The 25,595-nt window shown below is 40.6% G+C and overlaps 1 protein-coding gene across 19 annotated transcripts in view, besides 1 other annotated feature; it reads left to right on the top strand.

Moving 5' to 3' along the window:
• The window catches only part of FANCC (FA complementation group C), a 218,656-nt gene that overhangs the window by 56,486 nt on the left and 136,575 nt on the right, over positions 1-25,595 (top strand). For all 19 annotated transcript variants that reach the window (XM_006717001.4, NM_000136.3, XM_047422951.1 and 16 more), the window contains exons 2-4: positions 11,855-12,097; positions 13,708-13,792; positions 20,481-20,575. In XM_006717001.4, coding sequence (XP_006717064.1) covers positions 11,933-12,097; positions 13,708-13,792; positions 20,481-20,575 — 345 coding nt within the window. In that variant the 5' untranslated portion in view covers positions 11,855-11,932. The remainder of the gene's footprint in view (positions 1-11,854; positions 12,098-13,707; positions 13,793-20,480; positions 20,576-25,595) is intronic.
• Positions 19,794-19,963: an enhancer, noted in NCBI's record as "experimental_110548 CRE fragment used in MPRA reporter constructs". NCBI's record gives its function as "activates a minimal promoter by MPRAs in K562 erythroleukemia cells, with activity observed for the introgressed 9:98003628 variant allele {active_cell/tissue: K562}" and the evidence as "EXISTENCE:reporter gene assay evidence [ECO:0000049][PMID:34662402]".

Here is a 25,595-nt window from a genome sequence, read left to right as displayed (position 1 = left end):
AAATTACCATAAATCTGAAGAATCAGCCCCATTTTTCAAGGCATGCATTTTTTGGAGCTGCACGGAAGCCACCTTATATGTCTGCTTCGGGTGACACTGTCTTATTCCTCCGTGAATAATGAATTGAACGTCTCTCCCTCTTTGTGACAAAGCCCTCTGGGGCAAAGCAGTAGCCGTACAGGTAAGATAGGGGGTCCAGACAGCAGGTTTTGGATTTTCCCCTCCTTAGAGCCAGGACTGGAAAAATGGAGTCATTATTTGAGGACTGGAAGGAAAAGGAGGGAGCAAGTGCTAGGACTGTTATCTCTGCCCATCCTGGTGGGTGGTTTTAATATTTCCAGACAGAGAACTCAGTTAAAAAAACAAACAAACAGAAAATACATACTATTTCAACAATTTGCAAAATTTTGTTGTATTCATCAAGTACTGTCCATCTTTATTCACATTTATAAACTATAATACTTTTTCCTTTTTTCTTTGCCTGTGGGGTGATGTCTTTATGGTAAATGTGTATCTGGAAGTTTTTTTTTTTTTTTTATATTTTAAGTTCTGAGATACATGTGCAGAATGTGCAGGTTTGTTAGCCAGGTATACACGTGCCATGGTGGTTTCCTGCACCCATCAACCTGTCATCTACATTAGGTATTTCTGCTAATGGTATCCCTTTCCTAGTCCCCCAACCCCCTGACAGGCCCCGGTGTGTGATGTTCCCCTCCCTGGGTCCATGTGTTCGCATTGTTCGACTCCCACTTATGAGTGAGAACATGTGGTGTTTGGTTTTCTGTTCCTGTGTTGGTTGCTGAGAATGACGGCTTCCGGCTTCATCCACGTCCCTGCAAAGGACATGAACTTAGCCTTTTTTATGGCTGCATAGCATTCCATGGTGTATATGTGCCACATTTTCTTTATCCAGTCTATCATTTATGGGCATTTGGGTTGGTTCCAAGTCTTTGCTATTGTGAATAGTGCTGCAATAAACATACATGTGTGCATGTGTCTTTATATAGCAGGATGATTTATAATCCTTATATACCCAGTAATGGGATTGCTGGGTCAAATGGTATTTCTGGTTCTAGATCCTTGAGGAATCTCCACACTGTCTTCCACAATGATTGAAGTAATTTACACTCCCACCAACAGGGTAAAAGCGTTCCTGTTTCTCCACATCCTCTTCGGCATCTGTTGTTTCCTGACTTTTTAATGATCGCCAATTCTAACTGGCGTGAGATGGTGTCTCATTGTGGTTTTGATTTGCATTTCTCTAGTGACCAGTGATGATGAACTTGTTTTCATATGTTTGTTGGCTGCATAAATGTCTTCTTTTGAGAAGTGTCTGTTCTTATCCTTTGCCCACTTTTTGATGGGGTTGTTTTTTTCTCGTAAATTTGTTTTAAGTTCCTTGTAGATTCTGGATGTTAGCCCTTTGTCAGATGGATAGATTGCAAAAATTTTCTCCCATTCTGTAGGTTGCCCGTTCACTCTAATGATAGTTTCTTTTGCTGTGCAGAAGTTCTTTAGTTTAATTAGATCCCATTTGTCAATTTTAGCTTTTGTTGCCATTGCTTTTGGTATTTTAGTCATGAAGTCTTTGTCCATGCCTATGTCCTAAATGGTACTGCCTAGGTTTTCTTCCAGGGTTTTTATGGTTTTAGGTCTTACATTTAAGTCTTTAATGCATCTTGAGTTAATTTTTGTATAAGGTGTAAGGAAGGGGTCCTAATTCAGTTTTCTGCATATGGCTAGCAGTTTTCCCAACACAATTTATTAAATAGGGGATCCTTTTCCCATTGCTTGTTTTTGTCAGGTTTGTCAAAGATCAGATGGTTGTAGATGGGTGGCGTTATTTCTGAGGCCTCTGTTCTGTTCCATTGGCCTATATCTCTGTTTTGGTACCAGTACCATGCTGTTTTGGTTCCTGTAGCCTTGTAGTATATAATTTGAAGTCAGGTAGTGCGATGTCTCCACCTTTGTTCTTTTTGCTTAGGATTGTCTTGGCTATATGGACTTTTTTTTGGTTCCATATGAAATTCAAAGTAGTTTTTTCTAATTCTGTGAAGAAAGTCAATGGTAGCTTAATGGGGATAGCACTGAATCTATAAATTACTTTGGGCAGTATGACCATTTTCATGATATCTATTCTTCCTATCCGTGAGCATGGAATGTTTTTCCATTTGTTTGTGTCCTCTCTTATTTCCCTGAGCAATGGTTTGTAGTTCTCCTTGAAGAGGTCCTTCACATCCTTTGTAAGTTGTATTCCTAGGTATTTTATTCTCTTTGTAGCAATTGTGAATGGGAGTTCACTCATGATTTGGCTCTCTGTTTGTCTGTTATTGGTGTATAGGAATGCTTGTGATTTTTGCACATTGATTTTGTATCCTGAGACTTTGCTGAAGCTGCTTATCAGCTTAAGGAAATTTTGGGCTGAGACAGTGGGGTTTTCTAAATATACAATCATGTCATCTGTAAACAGAGACAATTTGACTTCCTGTCTTCCTATTTGAATATGCTTTATTTCTTTATCTTGCCTGATTGCCCTGGCCAGAATTTCCGATACTATGTTGAACAGGAGTGGTGAGAGAGGGCATCTTTGACTTGTGCCAGTTTTCAAAGGAAATGCTTCCAGTTTTTGCCCATTTAGTATGATATTTGCTGTGGGTTTGTCATAAATAGCTCTTATTATTTTGAGATACGTTCCATCAATACCTAGTTTATTGAGAGTTTTTAGCATGAAGGGATGTTGCATTTTATCGAAGGCCTTTTCTGCATCTATTGAGATAATCATGTGGTTTTTGTCATTGGTTCTGTTTATGTGACGGATTGCATTTATTGACTGGCATATGTTGAACCAGCCTTGCATCCCAGGGATGAAGCCGACTTGATTGTGGTGGATAAGCTTTTTGATGTGTTGCTGGATTTGGCTTGCCAGTACTTTATTGAGGATTTTCGCATTGATGTTCATCAGGGAATTGGCCTGAAATTTTCTTTTTTTGTTGTGTCTCTGCCAGGTTTTGGTATCAAGATGATGCTGACCTCATAAAATGAGTTAGGGAAGAGTCCCTCTTTTTCTATTGTTTGGAATAGTTTCAGAAGGAATGGTACCAGCTTCTCTTTGTACCTCTGGTAGAATTCGGCTGTGAATCTGTCTGGTCCTGGGCTTTTTTTGGTTGGTAGGCTATTAATTACTGCCTCAATTTCAGAACTTGTTATTGGTCTATTCAGGGATTCAACTTCTTCCTGGTTTAGTCTTGAGAGGGTGTAAGAGGGTGTATGTGTCCAGGAATTTATCCATTTCTTCTAGATTTTCTAGTTTATTTGTGTAGAGGTGTTTATAGTATTCTCTGATGGTAGCTTGTATTTCTGTGGGATCAGTGGTGATATTCTTTATCATTTTTTATTGTGTCTATTTGATTCTTCTCTCTTTTCTTCTTTATTAGTCTGACTAGCGGTCTATCTATTTTGTTAATCTTTTCCAAAAACCAGCTCCTGGATTCATTGATTTTTTTGAAGGGTTTTTTGTGTCTCTGTCTCCTTCAGTTCTGCTCTGATCTTAGTTATTTCTTGTTTTCTGCTAGCTTTTGAATGTGTTTGCTCTTGCTTCTCTAGTTCTTTTAATTGTGATGTTAGGATGTCAATTTAGATCTTTCCTGCTTTCTCTTGTGGGCATTTAGTGCTATAAATTTCCCTCTAAATACTGTTTTCGCTGTGTCCCAGAGATTCTGGTACGTTGTGTCTTTGTTCTCATTGGTTTCAAATAACTTCTTTATTTCTGCCTTCATTTCATTATTTACCCAGTAGTCATTCAGGAGCAGGTTGTTCAGTTTCCATGTAGTTGTGCAGTTTTGAGTGAGTTTCTTAATCCTGAGTTCTAATTTGATTGCACTGTGATCTGAGAGACTGTTATGATTTCCGTTCTTTTGCATTTGCTGAGGAGTGTTTTACTTCCAATTATGTGGTCAGTTTTAACAGAAGTGTGATGTGGTTCTGAGAAGAATGTATATTCTGTTGATTTGGGGTGGAGAGTTCTGTAGATGTCTATTAGGTCCACTTGGTCCAGAGCTGAGTTCAAATCCTGAATATCCTTGTTAATTTTCTGTCTCGTTGATCTGTCTCATATGACAGTGGAGTGTTAAAGTGTCCCACTGTTATTGTGCGGGAGTCTGAGTCTCTTTGTAGGCCTCTAAGAACTTGCTTTATGAATCTGGGTGCTCCTGTATTGGGTGCATATATATTTAGGATAGTAAGCTCTTCTTGTTGTATTCATCCCTTTACCATTATGTAATGCCCTTCTTTGTCTTTTTTGATCTTTGTTGGTTTAAAGTCTGTTTCATCAGAGACTAGCATTGCAACCCCTGCTTTTTTTTTTCTTTCCATTTGCTTGGTAAATATTCCTCCATCCATTTATTTTGAGCCTATGTCTGTCTTTGCACGTGAGATGGGTCTCCTTACAGCACACTGATGGGTCTTGACTTTTTATTGAATTTGCAAGTTTGTGTCCTTTAATTGGGGCATTTAGCCCGTTTACATTTACGGTTAATATTTTTATGTGTGAATTTGATCCTATCATTGTGATGCTAGCTGGTTATTTTGCCCATTAGTTGATGGAGTTTCTTCACAGAGTCGATAGTCTTTACAATTTGGTATTTTTTTGCGGTGGCTGGTACTGGGTTTTCCTTTCCATATTTAATACTTCCTTCAAGAGCTCTTGTAAGGCAGGCCTGGTGGTGACAGAATCTCTCAGCATTTGCCTGTCTGCAAAGGATTTTATTTCTCCTTCGCTTATGAAACTTAGTTTGGCTGGATATGAAATTCTGGGTTGAAAATTCTTTAAGAATATTGAATATTGGCCTCCACTTTCTTCTGGCTTGTAGAGTTTCTGCAGAGAGATCCGCTGTTAGTCTGATGGACTTCCCTTTGTGGGTAACCCGACCTTTCTCTCTGACTGCCCTTAACATTTTTTCCTTCATTTCAACTTTGGTGAATCTGACAATTACATGTCTTGGGGTTGCTCTTCTCGAGGAGTATCTTTGTGGCATTCTCTGTATTTCCTGAATTTGAATGTTGGCCTGTCTTGGTAGGTTAGGGAAGTTCTCCTGGATGATACCCTGAAGAGTGTTTTCCAACTTGGTTCCATTCTCCTTGTCACTTTCAGGTACACCACACACCAATTAAACGTAGGTTTTGTCTTTTCACATAGTCCCGAATTTCTTGGAGGCTTAGTTTGTTCCTTTTCATTTTTTTTTTCTCTAACCTTCTCTTCATGCTTTATGTCATTAAGCTGATCTTTAGTCTCTGATATCCTTTCTTCTGCTTGATCGATTCAACTATTGATACTTGTGTATGCTTCACGAAGTTCTCATGACGTGTTTTTCAGCTCAATCAGGTCATTTATATTATTCTAGTTAGCAGTTCCTCTAACCTTTTTTCAAGATTCTTAGCTTCCTTGCATTGGGTTAAAAAATGCTCCTTTAGCTTGGAGGAGTTTGTTATTACCCACCTTCTGAAGCCTACTTCTGTCAGTTTGTCAAACTAATTGTCCGTCCAGTTTTGTTCCCTTGCTGGAGAGGAGTTGTGATCCTTTGCAGGAGAAGAGGCATTCTGGTTTTTGGAATTTTCAGCCTTTTTGTGCTGGTTTTTACTCATCTTCATGGATTTATCTACCTTTGGTCTTTGATGTTAGTGACCTTCGGATGGGGTTTTTATGTAGACGTCCTTTTTGTTGATGTTGATGCTATTCCTTTCTGTTTGTTAGTTTTCCTTCTAACAGTCAGGCCCCTCTGCTGGAGTTTGCTGGAGGTCCACTCCAGACGCTGTTTGCCTGGGTATCACCAGTGGAGGTTTCAGAACAGCAGATATTGCTGCCTGATCCTTCCTCTGGAAGCTTCGTCTCAGAGGGGCACCCGCCAGTTGCCAGCCGGAGCTCTCCTGTATGAGGTGTCTGTCGACCCCTGCTTGGAAGTGTCTCCTTGTCAGGAGGCATGCGGGTCAGGGACCCACTTGAGGAGGCAGTCTTTCCCTTAGCAGAGTTCAAATGCTGTGCTGGGAGATCTGCTGCTCTCTTCAGAGCCAGCAGGCGGGAACGTTTAATTCTGCTATAGCTGCGCCCACAGCCACCCCTTCCCCCAGGTGCTCTGTCTCAGGGAGATGGGAGTTTGATCTATAAGCTACTGACTGGGGCTGCTGCCTTTCTTTCAGAGATGCCCAGCCCAGAAAGGAGGAATCTAGAGAGGCAGTCTGGCTACAGCGGCTTTGCTGAGCGAACATCCCTGCGGCTTTGTTTACGCTGTCAGGGGAGAACCGCCTTCTCAAGCCTCAGTAATGGGGGACGCCCCTCCCCCCACCAAGCTCAAGCATCCCAGGTTGACTTCAGACTGCTGTGCTGGCAGCCAGAATTTCAAGCCAATGGATCTTAGCTTGCTGGGCTCCTTGGGAGTGGGATCCACTGAGCTAGACCACTTGGCTCCCTGGCTTCAGCCCCCTTTTGAAGGGAGTGAACGGTTCTGTCTCGCTGGTGTTCCAGGTGCCACTGGTGTATGAAAAAACTCCTGCAGCTAGCTCGGTGTCTGCCCAAATGGCCGCCCAGTTTTGTGCTTAAAACCCAGGGCCCTGGTGGTGTAGGCACCCAAGGGAATCTTCTGGTCTGTAGGTTGCGAAGACCATGGGAAAAGCGTAGTGTCTGTGCTGGAATGCACCATTCCTCACGGCACAGTCCCTCACGGCTTCCCTTGGTTAGGGGAGGGAGTTCCCCAATCCATTGTGCTTCTTGGGTGAGGTGACACCCCACCTGGCTTCTGCTCACCCTCCGTGGGCTGCTCCCACTGTCTAACCAGTCCCAGTGAGATGAGCCGGGTACCTCAGTTGGAAATGCAGAAATCACCTGCCTTCTGCATTGATCCTGTTGGGAGCTGCAGACCAGAGCTGTTCCTATTCGGCCATCTTGCCAGCCTGTGGAGGTTTTAAAAACTATTTTTTAATTGTAGAAAGTAACATATTGAAAAGCATATAAATACGATTTATACTTTGGTGAGTTATTAAAATGTGGATAGATAGTCATTGCCACACAGGTCAGGAAATAGAATATTGCCAGCATCTTGGTGCCATTCTTGCACACCTTCCCAATAGCACATCTTCCTTTCCTCTAAAGCAGGGTTCCCCAAGCCCCGGGCCACAGACCGGTACCAGTCCGTGGCCTGTTAGGAACCAGACCATACAGCAGGAGGTAAGTAGTAGGCCAGTGAGCATCACTGGTTGAGCTCCGCTCCCTGTCAGATCAGTGGCGGCATTAGATTCTCATAGGGGCATGAATCCTCTTGTGAACTGCACATGCAGGGGATCTAGGTTGCACGCTCCATATGAGAATGTGACTAATGCCTGATGATCTGAAGTGGAACAGTTTCTCATCCCACAAACACATCCCCCCCATCCCTGCCCCCGCCCTGGTCCATGAAAAAATTGTCTTCTGCAATGGGAGATGGGTGCACCAGAATCTCACAAGTCACCACTAAAGGACTTACCGTGTAACCAAATACCACCTGTTCCCCCAAAACCTATGGGAATAAAAAATTTTTTAAAAGAGAAATATCTGAAACAGTAATTACTGAGAATTTTCCAAGTTAATGTCAGACACCATACCACTAATACAGGAAGCTTTCTTATTTTGAATGGAAGCCGGAAGAAAAATGCACTTTACCTGTAGAGGAGCAGAACATTCAACTTCTCCTCAGAAACCATGTAAGGAAGAAGAGAGTGGAGTGAAATATTTAAAAATATTGATTTAAAATGTTGAGAGAAACACCTTACATTATTAAGAACATGAGCTCAGATACCTCTAGGGATCTAGATTAAGAGAGCCTTTGAATGACTGAGTTCTACCTGTCAAGACTCAGATTCCCAGCAGGGTCAGATATGCCCAACAGGTGTGATCATCCCACATGTGGCCGATGGCACAGGGTACTTTAATTAACCAGATGCTGGCAGCAGCCATCACCCACACTCCCTGGTCATCACAACTACAGCACCATGTTTTCACCCCTCCCAGCCCCAGAGGTTGTGGAGCAGCATATTGAGGATCAGTGCACTGCATGATTCCTAAAGCTGTTTGCATTTAAAACAATCAGATACATTTCTATTGCTGAGCGAAGGTTGTTTGCCTTTTTTTCTTTTTTAGACAGTCTGGCTGTCTCACACAGGCTGGAGTGTGGAGTGCAGTGGTGCTATCCTAGCTCACAGAGGCCTTGAACTCCTGGGTCCAAGCGATCCTCCTGCTTCAGCCTCTAGAGTAGCTGGGACTATAGGCATCTGCTATTATGCATGGCTAATTAAAAAAAAAAATTTTTTTTTTTTAGAGATGGGGTCTTGGTATGTTGCCCAGGCTGGTCTCAAACTCCTGGCCTCAAGCGATGCTCCTGTGACCGCCTGCCAAATGCTGGGATTACAGGCATGAGCCACTGTTCCAGGCCTGCATTTTTTTTTTTTTTTTTTTGAGACAGAGTCTCGCTCTGTTGCCCAGGCTGGAGTGCAGTGGAGTGATCTCGGCTCACTTACAAGCTGTCTCCCAGGTTCATGCCATTCTCCTGCCTCAGCCTCCTGAGTAGCTGGGACTATAGGCGCCCACCACCACGCCTGGCTAATTTTTTGTATTTTTAGTAGAGATGGGGTTTCGCTGTGTTAGCCAGGATGGTCTCAATCTCCTGACCTCGTGATCCGCCCGTCTCTGCCTCCCAAAGTGCTGGGATTACAGGCGTGAGCCACGGCGCCCAGCCCCGGGCCTGCAATTTTATTTGAATAAAATGTTTGTCTCTTTTATCAAAAAGTTCTTCATTTTACTGGGTTCCCAAATATCTAAACTGATCTGCATCTAGTGCCATATGAAATATATAAGAAATTCATCAGTTTGTTAGTTTCTTCAGTTTCTTTGTTTCTTTTTTTTTTCTTTTTTTTTTTTTTTTTTTTGAATCAGTCTCACTTTGTCTCCCAGGCTGCAGTGCAATGGTGCGGTCTCGGCTCACTGCAACCTCTGCCTCCTGGGCAAGTGATTCTCCTGCCTCTGCCTCCCAAGTAGCTGGGATTACAGGCTCCTGCCACTACGCCCAGCTAATTTTTGTTATTTTCAGTAGAGATGGGGTTTCACCATGTTGGCCAGGCTGGTCTCAAACTCCTGACCTCAGGTGATCTATCCACCTCGGCCTCCCAAAGTTCTGGGATTACAGGTGTGAGCCACTGTGCCCCGCCTCTTCAGTTTGTTTCTTTAAGGACACAGACTTTAGAGCCAGACCCTGGATTCATATTCCACAATCATAGCTCTGCTGTTAACTAGCAGTTACTTCCTTTCAGTTTTTACATAATCTTACTTTGGGCAATTATGTAATCTCTTGGTGCCTCTGTAAAATGGAGATGATAATAGTACCCATTTCATAGTGTTGCTGTAATGATTAAATTAGTATGAATAAAGTATTTAATATATTGCCAAGAGCATAGTGTAAATGTATGCAAGTATAAACTATTATTATATTTATAAAATGAGATATTACTAATTAAATTTCACACAGGCAACATAAAAATACCTTAAAATTTTTTTTGGTGGGGAATTACCTTTTAAAAATTAAATTACTGGCTGGGCACGGTGGCTCATGCCTGTAATCCCAGCACTTTGGGAGGCAGAGGAGGGCGGATCACTTGAGGTCAGGAGGTCGAGACCCGCCTAGCCAACATGGTGAGACCCCGTCTCTACTAAAAATACAAAAATTAGCCGGGCGTGGTTGTGTGTGCCTGTAATCCCAGCTATTTGGGAGGCTGAGGCAGGAGAGTCGCTTGAACCCAGGAGGTGGAGGTTGCAGTGAACCAACATCGCACCACTTAACTCCAGCCTGGGAGATAGAGTGAGACTTCGTCTAAAAAAAAATACATAACATAAAAATAAAATTAAATTACTTCATCTGGAGAAGCGTTTTGCTGTGGCATTTAGCTTAGAACTGTACTATGAGGAATACCGGTGAATTATTCATTCCTTAATTCAGTATTTTTTGAGTGTTTGCCAGGCATATGCTGCATTCTAGGAAGACAGGGAATTTACACACCAGTAGAGGAAGCGGTAACTAAGTGAACGAATAAAGCCCAGGATAATTAACTGGAATCAGCAGAAAGGATTTGTTGTGTGCATGAAGCAGATGAGAGGCATGGGCTGGACCGTGGTGAGCTGGGGAGAGAGGAAATAAGGGCTGTCAGAGACGGTGCTGGAGCCATGTTTTGCAGGGTCTTCAAGACTCCAGCAAGCAGCTGGGAGTATCTACGGGGAGTTTAAGTTTCTTTTCAAGGAAGCGTGAAGAGAGGTTTTACCCAGGGGAATGTGCTGGTCTCATTTACATTTGCTAAAGTTTTTTCTGTCTACTGCATAGAGAATGAATTGGAGACGGGCAGGCCCAGCCTGGCAGTAGACAAGTGCAACACTCCAGGGCTAGGCTGAGGGGTGGCAATGAGGTGGAAGGAAGTGCATGCAGTCAAGTCGGATCACACACATTTATTTTGGTGGTAGACTTGACAGGTGGTGATGATAGCTTGGATGAGGAAGACAATGAGGAGGCATGGACATTATCTAGATTTTTGGCTAAGTGCCATTTTGACAGTTGCATATATTCCCTCTATTATTAAACTTTCTTTTCATTTAGACATGATCCTTCTCAAAACTGTAAATGTTCTAGTGTGTGTGCTGCCCAAGTGAACATGAAGACTGCACATTTTTTAGGTATTTTAAAACTTTCCCGATCTAGATTTTTTTGCACTGCAGCCAAATTGTACAGTCGTTTCAAATTTCTTCTTTAGTAATGGGAACCTCCTTTGTTGATATCTTGGGTATTTAATTGGGAGCATTTTACCTGTTAATTATGGTTGTTGAGGATTTTAAACTCACTTTATTTACCACTAGTCTTTTGAAATTACATTGCTGAATATCCTGCCTGCCCTGGGGAGTGTCAGAGCCTGTGAAGGCCTGCACCTGTTGAGAGGCAGCCTTCCCTCCTCTGCGATTCCTGCTTCTGGCTTCCATGGGTGATGAAGGGTTGTGGGATGGGAGGGGCAGCTGGAGCCGCTGAGCCAGCTCCACCTGAGTCTCACTGTGTAACTCCATTGTTCTTTTTAGCATGGCCTTCAGGGGTAGGAAGTCAGGCTTATGAGATTTTATCTACTGTCACTGGGACTAGTATACCTCCTCAGTAAGTGGAATTTATTATTATTTTACTAAAATATGGTTTCTTCGTGTGAATGAAGTGAGATCAAGCATATAAAGCAATCTTTAGTTAAAAGATTGCTTAAATTGTTACATGTGGAATAAATTATTTTACTTTTTTCTAAGAAATGAAGAGAAACTGGGAAAAAAATTCGTTAGACAGTAATGCATAGAGATTTTTTTACACCTAAATGAGAAGCCAGAAATTCATATAAAACATAAGAACTTCAAAAACATTTCTTAGGCACAGACTATTATTAAACACTCATGGATGTTTTTTATTTTCTATTACATTAAAATACTCAAGTCAACTTCATATTCAGAACATTTAAAAATAGCTCAATCTTAAAAAGAAGATATAAAGTATTATCAGCTGTGCTTTTTGTGCATAATTAGCGTGTGCCTGTGGAGGTATAAAGACTTCTAGCCTAATGATAGTATCATGATAAAAAGTTCAGATGGTAAAAATTGGAGCTCCAGCTGGATGACATATTTTATAACAATTCAAAGATGGCTCCAGCATAGAAGCCATGCTATTTTAGTTCTTTGTAATCCCTCCTTCACCCATCAATGGGTCGTGAAGGCACTGATAAAAGAGCCTTTTAGAAATGCTTCTATTTGTTCCCTTTCTTACAGATTTAATGTGTGCCGACCATTTCCTTCAGTGCTGGACAGGCTGCTGTGAAGGGACATCACCTTTTCGCTTTTTCCAAGATGGCTCAAGATTCAGTAGATCTTTCTTGTGATTATCAGTTTTGGATGCAGAAGCTTTCTGTATGGGATCAGGCTTCCACTTTGGAAACCCAGCAAGACACCTGTCTTCACGTGGCTCAGTTCCAGGAGTTCCTAAGGAAGATGTATGAAGCCTTGAAAGAGATGGTAAGTAGTGGACCAGAATAATGAAATTATTTTCTGACTTCAGGGACTCTACCAGATTTCACCAAGACAGAATGCCACCCAGAATCGGGACTTGTGGTATTGACTGAAGTGCCGATGGATTAGGAAGACAAATTACTCAAGAGCTGGTTTCCTAGTCTCCGATTTATTATATTATTATAATTTCTTCTTGAGTAGCTGTATTGTTACATGACACTTCCTGACCAAGCAAGTTGTTCTTAAATAATCAAGATTTCATGCTTGTTGTCAAGTAGTAAATGGGATTCTTTTGAAGGCCTTTGTGTCCCTTGAATCTTGGAGAATTTGCTACATGCTTAACCCTTCTTCAACCCTCTTGTCAAGTGGGCTGTCCTAAGAGATGATAGATATTAAGATCTCTTCTTATAATACTTTTTATAAATATTAAGATTTTGAGTATCTTTACTATTATATAATTTATTATTTTCAAAATTTAATATATTTTCATTTTGATGTCATGTTTCTTTTATTATGATAGATATTTTTATGATTTAGCACATGTTGTTATATTATGAGCTAGTATTTTGTATTTAATTTCAAAATGAAAAGCAAAATTGTCACTTAACAAAGTGTTCTTGTGTTAAGCTTTTCTTCCCTTAATCAAAGAGTAAATAGGAAATTTGAAGAATAATTTGTATTGATAATATGAGTTCATATGTCTTTAGAAACTATAAGGAAAGATACAGTCTGTGTGAACAACCGATGCTAATTTTTAGAATTGTTTTTTTAATGAGACATACGTAACTTGACCTTTATATGGTCCCAAAAAGTGTAGGACCAGGCTTGATGCTGGGACACATGTGAGAGATGTTTTGCTGCAGTAGCAGAAAGTGCCCATTGTGTCGGCTTACCTGCATGTTATCCTAGTTTGCTTTTATTTTTGAAATTTTATGAAAGGTAACAAGTGGAAAAAGGTCCGGTTGTACAATAGCATGCATGTGTGTTTTTAAATCTTAAGCTGTTTTCTATTTGGTTGATCCTTTTTCTATTTCAGGGTTTAGATTGTTACAGACTATGATGTCATTTGCCATACAGTACTCAAAATAGTAATAAACAGATATATACATTTATGCTTTGGCTGCTTTTATTTCTTTTTACAAGTTCCAGAGTTCTCATCCCTTTAAACCTTCTTCTTTGAAATAGTCTTACTGGAGCTGAGTTCGTAACCTCTCTTATGTTAGAATAAAAAAACCAGGATAAAGATACGGGATTATATAGTTATTAATCACCAATAATGTGTTTTCAACTCTTAAGCAGTCTTTATTATTTTTAAATAAAGTAGCCTTTACTGACTATTAAGTATGAGTAGAATTAATTTTGCAACACAATTGATTTTACCTATGTCATACATCTTAGTTTGGTGACCCCATTTAAGGATGAAGTAAGTTGGTTGGTTGCTTTTTAAACTTTATTTGAATTACTTACCTAAAGATCTTCTCTAATCCTTTTGTGCTTACTTTTAAAAATGGTATACTAAACAAGAAGCATTCACGTTCCCTCAATCTATAATGTCAGTTCAGTATTTCTAAGTTGCATAATGCCTTTACTGACCAAAATTTATTTTTCTTTCACAGGATTCTAATACAGTCATTGAAAGATTCCCCACAATTGGTCAACTGTTGGCAAAAGCTTGTTGGAATCCTTTTATTTTAGCATATGGTAAGAATCAAAAACGTGTCCTCTCAAAATGGCTATTTTAATCTTTGCATTGTTTCACAGAGGCTTACATTATGAACCTTTCTCCTAGTTTTTTTTTTTTAATGGAACAACTTATCAAATGTATTCATTGTTCTATTACAAAGATGGCTTCCTATACTGTTGTCCATGTATGTGTGTGTAGGTTTGTATAGATAAACACACACACACACACACACACACGCGTGCACGCACCCATGCAGATCTTCAGGAAAATAGAGCTCTTCGTATTAGAGGACAGAAACTCCCAGATGATTTAAATATCTACTTTTGCCTGTAATCACTTTCATAACTTCATTTTAAATTCAATATAAAATGGCTATACTAATGATACCGAGTTAATTTTGTTTCACGGTTTCATAACTCACACACTCTTTCCCATGTTGTAAAGTCATTCTTCAGAGTGTGAATCCTGCCGTGACTTTGCCTTTGACATTGGCTGCTTTGACCTTATTTAAGGGTGCCATTTTGGTTTTATCCAAGGTGGAGATGAATGTGGGGGCACTTTGGGGAGGTATTCCTTCACTGAGCTCCTGTCTGCTGTCCAGTCTCATTTCCTGTTTCATCTTTCACAGCTATACCTCATGGTGGTAGCCAGGTCCTATTACTAACAGTGCCTGAAGGCACTTTGTGTCAGGATTCCTTTCACACTCATTCTCCTTTGAAATAGCCTTACTGGCCTGAGGTAGGAGCTGCTGGGAGTGTCTCCATGGCCTCCAGCATCTCCCTTTAATACACTTACTTCACTGTCTGATGCCCTGGGAAGACAGCATGCCTCTCGAGAACAGGAACCATGGTTTTAGTTCTCTTTGTTGTCCTAGGGCCTCCCAAGGAACATGGCTGAGGTTTGCTTTGGATTGACTGTATTATTAGCTAATGTAATATTTACTTTTAAGATTTTTTAAAGTCAAAGACTAATTGCATAATATAATGACATTAGAACCCAAAATAAAATGAATATTCCCCTTTGATGTTTTAAAGAATCATGCAGTTTCCCATTTATAGGTTGTCATAATCATTATTGGAAGAGACGTGAACTAGGCAGGAAAGGGACAATATGTGTGTTTAGCCCTGTGAGCAGGCGTGCGTGGACGCCCACACACTCAGCCTCCCTCACTCTACCCCACCCTCGTATGTCCCTCCTCCTTCCCACTTATACCTCTTCCCCCAACCCCTAAACTTCTTCAAGTTCTTGATTCAAAATGGCAAAACCAGTGAGGCAGCAATGTGTTTGCCCACCAGGACCACGCTTACCTGTCCTAGGTTTATCTATTGCAGTTAGGTCAGTGTTTCTCAGACATCTTTGACCAGAAATACATTATGTATATGCATATGCACGTGGATATGCACACACACAGTGAAACACATCTCATGAAAAAATGCATACAATGGCACCCCCCTTAGACTTTCTGCACTTGCAGTTACTCACAGTATAGTACAATAAGATTTTGAGAGAGATGGAGAGATCACATTTATGTAACTTTTTTTTTTTTTTTTGAGACAGAGTTTTGCTCTTGTCAACCCAGGCTGGAGTGCAATGGCACTATCTCGGCTCACCGCAACCTCTGCCTCCCGGGTTCAAGTGATTCTCCTGCCTCAGCCTCCCAGGTAGCTGGGATTACAGGTGCCTGCCACCACACCCAGCTGATTTTTGCATTTTTAATAGAGATGGGGTTTCACCATGTTGGCCAGGCTGGTCTCAAACTCCTGACCTCAGGCGATTCACCCGCCTCGACCTCCCAAAGTGTTGGGATTACAGGTGTGAGCCACCGTGCCTGGCCTAAGGGTTTAACAATGACAACAATACAATAAATCAACTGTAACAATATAGTGTAGTACATAACTTCTATTACACTATATTGTTACAGTTGATTTATTGTATTGTTGTCATTGTTAATCCCTTGCTATGCCTAGTTTATAAGTTAAACTTTATCATAGGTATGTGTATAGGAGAAAACACTGTATTTAAGGTTTGGTACTATTCTCAGTTTCAGACATCCCCTGAGGGTCTTGGAATATTTCCGCCATTGATAAAGAGGGACTATTGTATTATTATTCTGTGCAGTCCATGTTCACTATGCTGTTCATAGTGAATGGTGTTCATGACCCGAGACTGGATTTCATAACCCTTGATGCTTCTTGACCAGAAGTTTGAAGAACATTGATCTAGGCCAATATCGATGGCAGGAAAAAGGAAAAGAAATTGTTGAATGACCTTCATTTGAAAGCAGTACCCATTGTTAGGGGCTTCATGGATTTATTAATTGCTTTTTAGAAAGAAAGAAATATTACGTCCTTTAAATGTACATCGTGGATGTAATACATCCTCAAGTCAGAAATGTGAGAAACGTGGGGAGGTTTATGATGTCGTGTGAGAGGCATTGCTCACTTTGAGCTGGGCACTGTTCTCTGTGGGCTACATAATGGACCTAATTAATTCTTGATGACAGTGTTGCAGGGTAGATAATTATGGATTAGAGTCAATAAGTCGCTTTCCCTAGAATACAACACTAAGAAGAGCCAGAACCCCACTCCTCATGTGACTTTAAAGTCCACCTTCTGTAATGTTCTGTCCCTATTGGATCACATCTTGTGATCGAAGTGTTCCAGTCTTGGCATTCCCACTAGCCAGCTTCACTTGCACATACATATTAATTCAGCAGGTATTTACCAAGTGTTGGGTTTTTTTTTTTTTTTTTTTTTTTTTTTTTTTTTTTGAGACAAAGTCTTGCTCTGTTGCCTAGGCTGGAGTGCAGTGGCGTGATCTCGGCTCACTGCAACCTTTGCCTCCCAGGTTCAAGGGATTCTCCTGCCTCAGCCTCCTGAGTAGCTGGGACTATAGGCACCCACCACCACATCCAGCTAATTTTTTGTATTCTTACTAGAGATGGGGTTTCACCGTGTTAGCCAGGATGGTCTCAATCTCCTGACCTTGTGATCTGCCTGCCTCGGCCTCCCAAAGTGCTGGGATTACAGGCGTGGGCCACTGCACCCAGCCTACAAAGTGTTTTTTTGTGTGTGCCAGCCCTTAGGAAAACGCGGCTCACTGTCTCTGCCCATTAGGAGCTTCCAGTCAGGGAAAAAGAGATACTTAAGCAGGTCAGCCTGACTCAATGTGATGGTTCTCTGAATGGGAGTAGCAGTTGCTGAGAGGAAGGAGGGTTTCTCAGGAGAGCCCCTGCTGGGGCAAACTTGAAGATGTGATTCTCTAAGACAGGGCATCTGAACTCGTGGGGTCTCATATTTCTTCTTTGTAAAAGTAGGAGTTCAGACTGATTTATTCTGGTGTCCTTGAACTTGTATCTGTCTGTGATCTTTCCTTAGCACCTTATCTGCATTACCTTGGCCCCTCTGACAACCAGAAACAAATTCTCCATCCCTTTCTGTCTCAACGCTTGTATTACCTTTTGAACTGCTCATAAATTTCAGTTTCCTGTTGAGGTATGCCCTGGCTGTGAGCTCACAGAGGTGGCTGAATGGCATGAAACTCCATTAGCAGTCAGATGTTGCCTGTGTCGCCCCTGTTGTTTGACTAGTTGGGCGCTTTCTTCCTGGAAGGGATCTTTTCTTATGGTTTTATAATATCAGAATTGCTTTTTTTTGAGATGGAGTCTCGCTCTTTCACCCAGGCTGGAGTGCAGTGGTGCGATCTCGGCTCACTGCAAGCTCTGCTTCCTAGGTTCACGCCATTCTCCTGCCTCAGCCTACCAAGTAGCTGGGACTACAGGCGCCCGCTACCACGCCCAGCTAATCTGTTTTTTTTTTTTGTATTTTTAGTAGAGATGGGGTTTCACCGTGTTAGCTAGGATGGTCTTGATCTCCTGACCTTGTGATCCGCCCACCTCGGCCTCCCAAAGTGCTGGGATTACAGGTGTGAACCACCACGCCTGGCCCAAAATTGCTTTTTAATTACAGTAAAAGCAAACAATTTTCATCATGGAAAAAAGTAAGTCATATGTAGTGTTCATGGAGAATAGGATCAGAAAAGGGTAATAAGGAAGGAGGGATGATTTGGAAATGAAAAGATACTGAAAAGAGAAGAGACAAAATAGATAATAATGGAAAGTTAGAGAATACCTTTTTATTCGATGATGTCCTCAGCATAAAAATACTGCCTTCACCTTCTGAAATTCTGATCCATTGCTTCTAACTCTGCCCTCACGATTAAGCATGACAGCTGTTACCTCTCTTCTTCACTATTCACTATTCCTGTATAACAAATTTCTGCCAAACTTAGCAGCTTAAAACAGTGAATATTGTCTTAAAAATTTGCTGCCTTCATACTTTTAAACTATAGAATTAAAGTTTAAAGAATTGCTTTAGCTTTTATGTAGAATTTCAATTCCAGATATCAAAAAATAAAATACAAGATGGCAAGTGTATGTTGTTATCTTCCTTTCCTTTCCACTCAGTTTTAGAATCCAAATTTACACTAAGATGGGCTGTCAGTGACTGTCCCTGCAGTGAATCCCAGGCAGTTTCCCATCTCACTTAACATGCCCTGTGGGATGCTCCAGCCTGAGCTCAGGGCCTCCAGGGAGGAGCCTGACAGATGCCAGCCCCTGGAGTGAGTGCTGGTGGCACTTGTGAATAACAGTCCATGGCTCATGTTTGTAAATTGCCTAAGCAAAGCAAACTGTAAGCTCATTAGCAGTGCATTTCAGTGCATTGACTCTGGGCACAGAAAGTCACCTCCTACAGGTTGGGTGGAAGTTTCTCTGGCTCCTTCTCTTTTTTTATTTTTCTCCCAAAAAATAAAATTTTGGGAGAAAAATAAAAAATAATATACCTTTTGAACTAAGTTTGCATAATCACTCAACACCTGGGGAAACTCCCAGTTTTGGGTATTCTTTTAGATTTAAGCTTCATAAACTCATAAACTGACATTTCCTTTCTTTTTTTTTTTTTTTTTTTTTGGTGGTGAATGTCTGGTTTTTGGAAATGCTCTCCATCAGATTACATTCTTTTTAACACCCTGCTGCATGCGTAAGGATGCCATTGGATGCATCTGTCACACTTACTACATGAAGCTAGGTAGAATTTCTTCTAATATTGAAACTATGGGAAGCATAACAGTCACATTTTTAATTAGTGGCATTGGTTAAACCTGAAGAATCCTAGAATCTTTAGTGGTTAAATTATACGACTCTTGAAATGAACTGATCTCAGGCAAGCCAGTGCTTTATAATGCTTTATTTGAGCTCATAAAAGCTAGGGGAAAAAAATGAATGGCCTCAGAATAACCCCTGATAAAGTTTTTTCAGAGATGTTAGTTATTGGAAAAGCATAAGCTATGTATGTTCACAGGGAAAAAAATGGGTTTAAAAATTACTGTTAGCATTATTTAGTTTGTGGATAAAAATACAGAAGTCGCTTACTAGAGTTGGTATTGTTCTTATTTCTTTGTTAATGAAGTCCTTAGAAATGCTGGGTTTTGGCCAGGCACGGTGGCTCATGCCTGTGATCCCAGCACTTTGGGAGGCCATGGCAGGAGGATCACTTGAGCTCAGGAGTCGGAGACCAGCCTGGGCGACATGGTGAGATCCAGTCTCTACAAAAAATACAAAAATTATCCGGGTGTGGTGGCACACACCTGTGGTCCCAGCTACTCAGGAGGCTGAGGTGGGAGAATCGCTGGAGCCCGAGAGGTGGATGTTTCACTGAGCTGAGATCATGCCACTGCACTCCAGCCTGGGTGACAGAGCGAGACCCTGTCTCAAAAAAAAGAGAAAGATTGGGTTTATTAGATTGCAGAAGATGAGGTGGCAGAGAGTACTGATTCCAGGCACCGGCTGTCTTAGCCTCACCTCCATGGCCTTGTAAAGTCTGAAGTTGCTTTGCCCTAGCTCGGGTACTGACATCTTCAGTTTCTAGGCCCCATTTTTGTTTCTTAATTGTGTTATAAAATCATCCGCTGGAATAGACTCAGTCACCACAAAAGGAGAAAGAAAGTAGCTCATCAAGTAGATGTTCCTGCAAAATGTAAGATTTCAAAGTTCAGATTTTCATTGCATGTTTGGTAAAGTTTTATAAAGATTTACATTTTAGAGTAAAAGAGCATGTAAGAGACTTCTATTTTATCCAAAGCACTTGGTACTAGAAATATATTTTAAAACAATCCTTTTTATTAAATTTCTTTTTAACAAGTGGAGCTATTTTGGCAAATTAAAAAATTAAAAGATTAAATCACAAATACTGGCTACCAACTGCCTATAACCATTAAGTTGCCTTAGAAAGGTCGAAATTACTAACCATTTGAAATGTGAAAAAACTGATCATGAAAAAAGCCCAGTTCTCTTAGTTCTTTCCATCATTCTCGTTTGGCTTTAAAAATTGATACTGTTACAGAAAGGAAATTGACCACACAAGAGTTAAGTGATCCCAAGGCCACAAGAAGGACAAAACCCCACAAAGTTAAGTTTAGGGAATTCTGAAGGACAGCTAGGAGAGCAAAGATAGAGTGAGGGAAAATATTCCCATCAGCAGAAAGAGAATGTGCAAAGTATGATGGCGAGAAAGCAAATGTTATATTCAGGGATACTTGTTCTGTGAACTTAGTAGTTTGAGATTTTCCTAAATATAATGTTTACAGTGTTTTTATATTAATGATTTTTTCTGCTTGATAAAACTTATTAAGTTTTCCTTTTTGTAGATGAAAGCCAAAAAATTCTAATATGGTGCTTATGTTGTCTAATTAACAAAGAACCACAGAATTCTGGACAATCAAAACTTAACTCCTGGATACAGGTAAGAGAGTAAATCTTGCTCTGCACTTCTTTGAATTAAATTGATTATTTAAAAGTGCTGCTTAAAAAAATTTTGGGGTGGGGTGGAATCCAGTTCTATGATGTTTTAGAAACTTTTTCAAACATACCCTTCACTGTTACATTATCTTGCTGAGTAAAAAGTTTTTCAAGAGATTTCAATTTTGCTTGACTGTGAATTCCAAAAGATACCAGTCTTTAGGATGAAGACCTAATGTTGAGTGGTTTTGAAAAGTTTCTTTCAGGTGATTAAAATAATGTATTCCATTTCACTCTAGCAATTGCTATCCTTCAAAAAATTGTTTTTCCCTATCAACCTGGTTTAAATTCCTTTCCACATGCTTCCATGCCTCTCTCAAAATCTATTTTGTAGTGAAATGAAAATTCAGCAGTGCGGCGGGAGCAGCACTCTTTATTTTGTGTCCCGAAGTTGGTGCCTGAGCCAGCATATGCACAGACTGGATCTTGGTGCTGCGCAGCCTCTGCTGCTCACTCACACTTTCCAGTTGGCTACCTACTGTGCTAGTCCAGATAGCTGACAGCTTTCTAGATTTCCCTGTCTGCTTCTACTTTCTCCTGAAGGGTAGGCATAAGGTAGAGATGTGGTGAGGCTGGGCTGCAGCTGCCCTCACCAGCAGCGCATTGGCTGTTCTTTTCTGTTCCCCGCACTGCCTTGCTGCAGCAACCCCAGGACTGGCTGATGCCTGTCAGACTCCACTTAGTATGCTTGTGGTTCAGATCAGCTGCTTAGTATTATGAAATCATCCAACCAGATTAGTGCATATGGTTTTGTCTATCAGTCTGACTGGTGATATCGTTACATTCACTGCTTTTTACGATTTCTTTGTTTTAGACAAAATTGCTAACAGATGATGAAGACAGTATTTATATTTTTCTGTTTGAAAGATAGAAGGGAGTGAGAGGGATTGGGCAATGGAAGGAAAGAATACAAACTTTAATTGGAAGGAAAATTAATGTAAGGAACTGAAGAAAGGAACAGATAAGTAGAATTAGGGAAGAAAGAATGTGTAACAAGGCTGAAGAAACAAAATGACATATTTAGTCCTTAATTTTTTTAATTGTTGCTTTTATTATTTGATATTTTAATGAATATTTAGCATATAATTTTGTATTAGATAGCTCATTGAGTCCTGAAGTAGGCCATCTAATGAAGTGTTTTTAGAGTGACTGGATTAACTTTCTTCATTTAACTCATGACTTTATTAGCCTGTTTAAAAATTTCTAGCCTCACATTTTATTGTTTTTCTTGTTTAATACTATATCTACTTACTAGTAGGTACTTATTAAGTATAGTTCAGGGAGTTAAAACACTTAATCTGTGCCTTCGGGGAATTCCCAGACTGGTAACCAGGTCACTCCAGGGCAGCGTGGTTGAGTTATTGCTAAAGCTGTGTTTAGGTGTGACGCTGACGTAGAGGGGGACACTTGCTCTGACAAGGGGGTTTGGAGACATTTCCTGGGGCAGGTGACGTGTTAATTGAATTCTGAAGAACAGCTAGGAGAGCAAGGATAGAGTTAGGGAGAATATTCCTGTCAGCAGAAACAGACTATGCAAAGTATGGTGGTGAGAAAGCAAACGTATTCAGGGAACTGTGGGTACTTAAGTGTGCCTGGAACTTGGGGTTTTGTGGAGTTGGTGATGAAGCATGAAGCCAGAGAGACCAGCAAGCACAGTCCTTGCATATGACTATAGAAGGTTTTTATCTTGATGACAGTGGGGCAGCCACCAGAGTATTTAAAACAGAGAAATCATGCCTGGGCGCGGTGGCTCATGCCCCAGCACTTTGGGAGGCCAGGGTGGGCAGATCATGACGTCAGGAGATCAAAACCATCCTGGCTAACATGGTGAAACCTTGTCTCTACTAAAAATACAAAAAATTAGCCAGGAATGGTGGCACGTGCCTGTACTCTCAGCTACTAGGGAGGCTGAGGCAGGAGAATCGCTTGAACCTGGGAGGCAGAGGTTGCAGTGAGCTGATATCATGCCACTGCACTCCAGCCTGGGTGACAGAGCGAGACTCTGTCTCAAAAAACAAAAAAAAAGAAAAAAGGAAAAAAAAAGCCAGAGATATCATGTAGCCAGTGTGAGTTTTAGAGACTAACAGCAAAAGGAAGTTGGTTGGGAAGAGGGCAAGGATAGACGTTGGAAGCTATTGTAGTGATAAGTTGAGAAATTGCGAGGGCCTCAAAGAAATGGAGAAGGGGGCCCGATTTATAAGATATTAATAAGGCAAATACCCAGAAGGTATAATGGCAGATTAAATGTCGATACACTTAGGCATAGCTGGAAATGTACAGAGAGCAGGTGAATATCCCATTGTCAGGAGAGCAAGCTGATTTGCTGGCAGAGGATTGAAAGTCAGCCACCTGTGGGAATAGTGGAAGCCTTAGGTGAGGTAAGGTCCGCTCCCAGAGAGTGCTGGGGTAGGGGCCCAGGGGAACTAGAGAGAGCCTTGGGGAGACACTGACCTTAAGGGGAAGTGGAAGAATGATTGATGCTACAGAATGTAAGGAGGGGTCCAAGAAGTAGAAGGAGAGAAGCAACGGAGAATGAGTGCTCATTCATATCTAATGCCATACAGCAGTGCTGTCCAGTAGGAATAAAATACATGCTGCATAGATAATGGTAAACTTTCCAGGTGCTGCTTTAAAAAACATAAAAAGAAATAGTTAAAATTAATTTTAAGAAGATATTTCACCTAATTCAGTATATTCCAAATACCATCATTTCAACATTTAATCATTATTAAAGTTATTGAGATTATTTATAATCTTTTTCATGATGTATCTTTGAAATCCACTGTGTATGTTACGCTAACACTTATATCTACGTGTTGTATCTTCATTCAGATGTTAAATTTTCTTTGGAAATTCTTGATCTGTATTTAGATTTTATAAAATGTAGGGTTGAAAAAGTAGATTCACATACCCAAGTTGTTCCGAGGAATTTTATAACTGAATCAAGTATCGGTATTTAAATTAAAATTGAATTAAAATTAAATACAAAGTTCAGTTATTCCCTGGTGCTTACTGCACGGCAGTGCTCTGCAGCCACATGTGGCAGGCGGCCGCCGTGTTGGACAGGGCAGCTGTGGAGCATACAGCAGAAGGATCAAGAAACACTACTTGGATTTAGCCACTGTGAGCAAAGACTCGGTGAGGAGAGGTTTAGTGAGAGGTGGAGGGAAACAGCCAGATTGCTCCAGATTGAGAAATGTTGAAGAGGTGAGGAAGCAGAGATAATAAACTTCACTCTTTCAAGAAACTTGGCAGTAAAGGAGGGAGAACTTTGGCAATGAAGGGGGTGATAGCCAGACTAGGGTGGGGTTGGCTGAATTGAGCAAGTCCCAAACATGCTTTACATTGAGATGAATATGTGGGTAGGGAACAGGTGAGGATATGCGAGGTTGGGAAAACAGTTTCCTTCCTCAGTTACCAAGCAAGCCTGAACTAAATAACATGAACCGATAAAAAGATGTCTAGGAACATATTAATGATTTAACTCTTAACAATTTATTAACATATTAATTATTTAACTCTTAACAACTCTAAAGCTAATTACATTGCCCATCATCAGTCAGTACATACATAATCTCATGTTGGCTGTAAATGCAGCAAGATAGAAGATAGTCTGTAGGTTGGTTTATAAATCAGTTCACATCTCCGGTATACTTGATTTTATCTTGGAGGTGATATTTTCTTCATGGAGGTTTTAGAGTGACATAGTATCTGTTAAAGATGTGTACCTTGACATCCAATATCCTTGTGAAAATTATAAAACAGCCATATTTTAATGTTTGCTAATTCATTCAGCAAGCATTTATTAGGGCCTACCATGTGCTAGGATGTTCTAATTGTGGTAATAAAATCTTGGGTCATTCTGTGTTACTGGAGCATTACAAGTATGATTGAAATACTCTAAATCAAAAACTAAGAATTTCTACAGTAAATTACAAAATTCAGTAAACATTCAAATTAATTAATAAATTTGAAAATGATAGACTGAGTTGTATTTTTAGCACAGAGAAGAAATAATTCTGTTTGACACTTGACATGTTAGCATGTGTTATACTGGAAACACATTGATAAAATGTTTTGGAGTTTTACTGACAACCTTGAATGTGCCATCATAGAGCACCACCTCAACAGCTCTTCTTACAGTTCAGAGACGAAGTTCCGGGACTCTTTCATGTATTTTGGGAATATGTGGTCTTGAAAAATGTAGTTTTACTGGTAAATCCACTGAACAGATACTTTTTGAGCACCTACTGTTTGCCAGGCACAACTATAGAGGCTGAGGATACAGCACTGGACCTAGAAAGACAGTCTGTTCTCAGATGCTACAATAGATGGGGAAGGTTTCCAGGGCCTGCCAAATGTAAGAGGATGCCTGTCTTCTCTGGCAAAACCATACCACTATTATTTTTTGATTCTGATAGAAAGAAAAAAAGACAAAAAAACACAACAGGGTACCAGGAACAGAGATCAAAAGGTGTTGTATTCTATCTGTATTTTCTTTCGAAATGCAATACTAAGCAATATCCAGATAGCGTCTGTCCTCTACTTTCTTCTTTTTTCAAAAAGAAAAAACTTATAAATTAAAAAATCTAACAGACTTACACAAAACATAAATGCCAAGCTTAATAAATTGTGACAGATCCTTGTAATCACCACCCAAGGAAATAGAACAGAACATTGACTGCTCCTGGATGTCCCTGCCCCCCATGTGCCCCTTGTTGCTTTTTTTTTTTTTTTTTTTTTTTTTTGAGGTGGAGTTTCACTCTTGTTGCCCAGGTTGGAGTGCAATGGCGCAATCTTGGCCCACTGCAACCTCCGCCTCCTGGGTTCAAGCAGCTCTCCTGTCTCAGCCTCCCAAGTAGCTCAGATTACAGGCATGCGCCACCACACCCAGCCAATTTTGTATTTTTAGTAGAGATGGGGTTTCTCCATGTTGGTCGGGCTGGTCTCAAACTCCCGACCTC

Source organism: Homo sapiens, chromosome 9 (genome assembly GCF_000001405.40).
Source record: "Homo sapiens chromosome 9, GRCh38.p14 Primary Assembly".
NCBI lineage: Eukaryota > Metazoa > Chordata > Mammalia > Primates > Hominidae > Homo > Homo sapiens.
The sequence above is the reverse complement of the archived record's forward strand: the minus strand, read 5'-3'. Positions and strand labels throughout refer to the sequence as shown.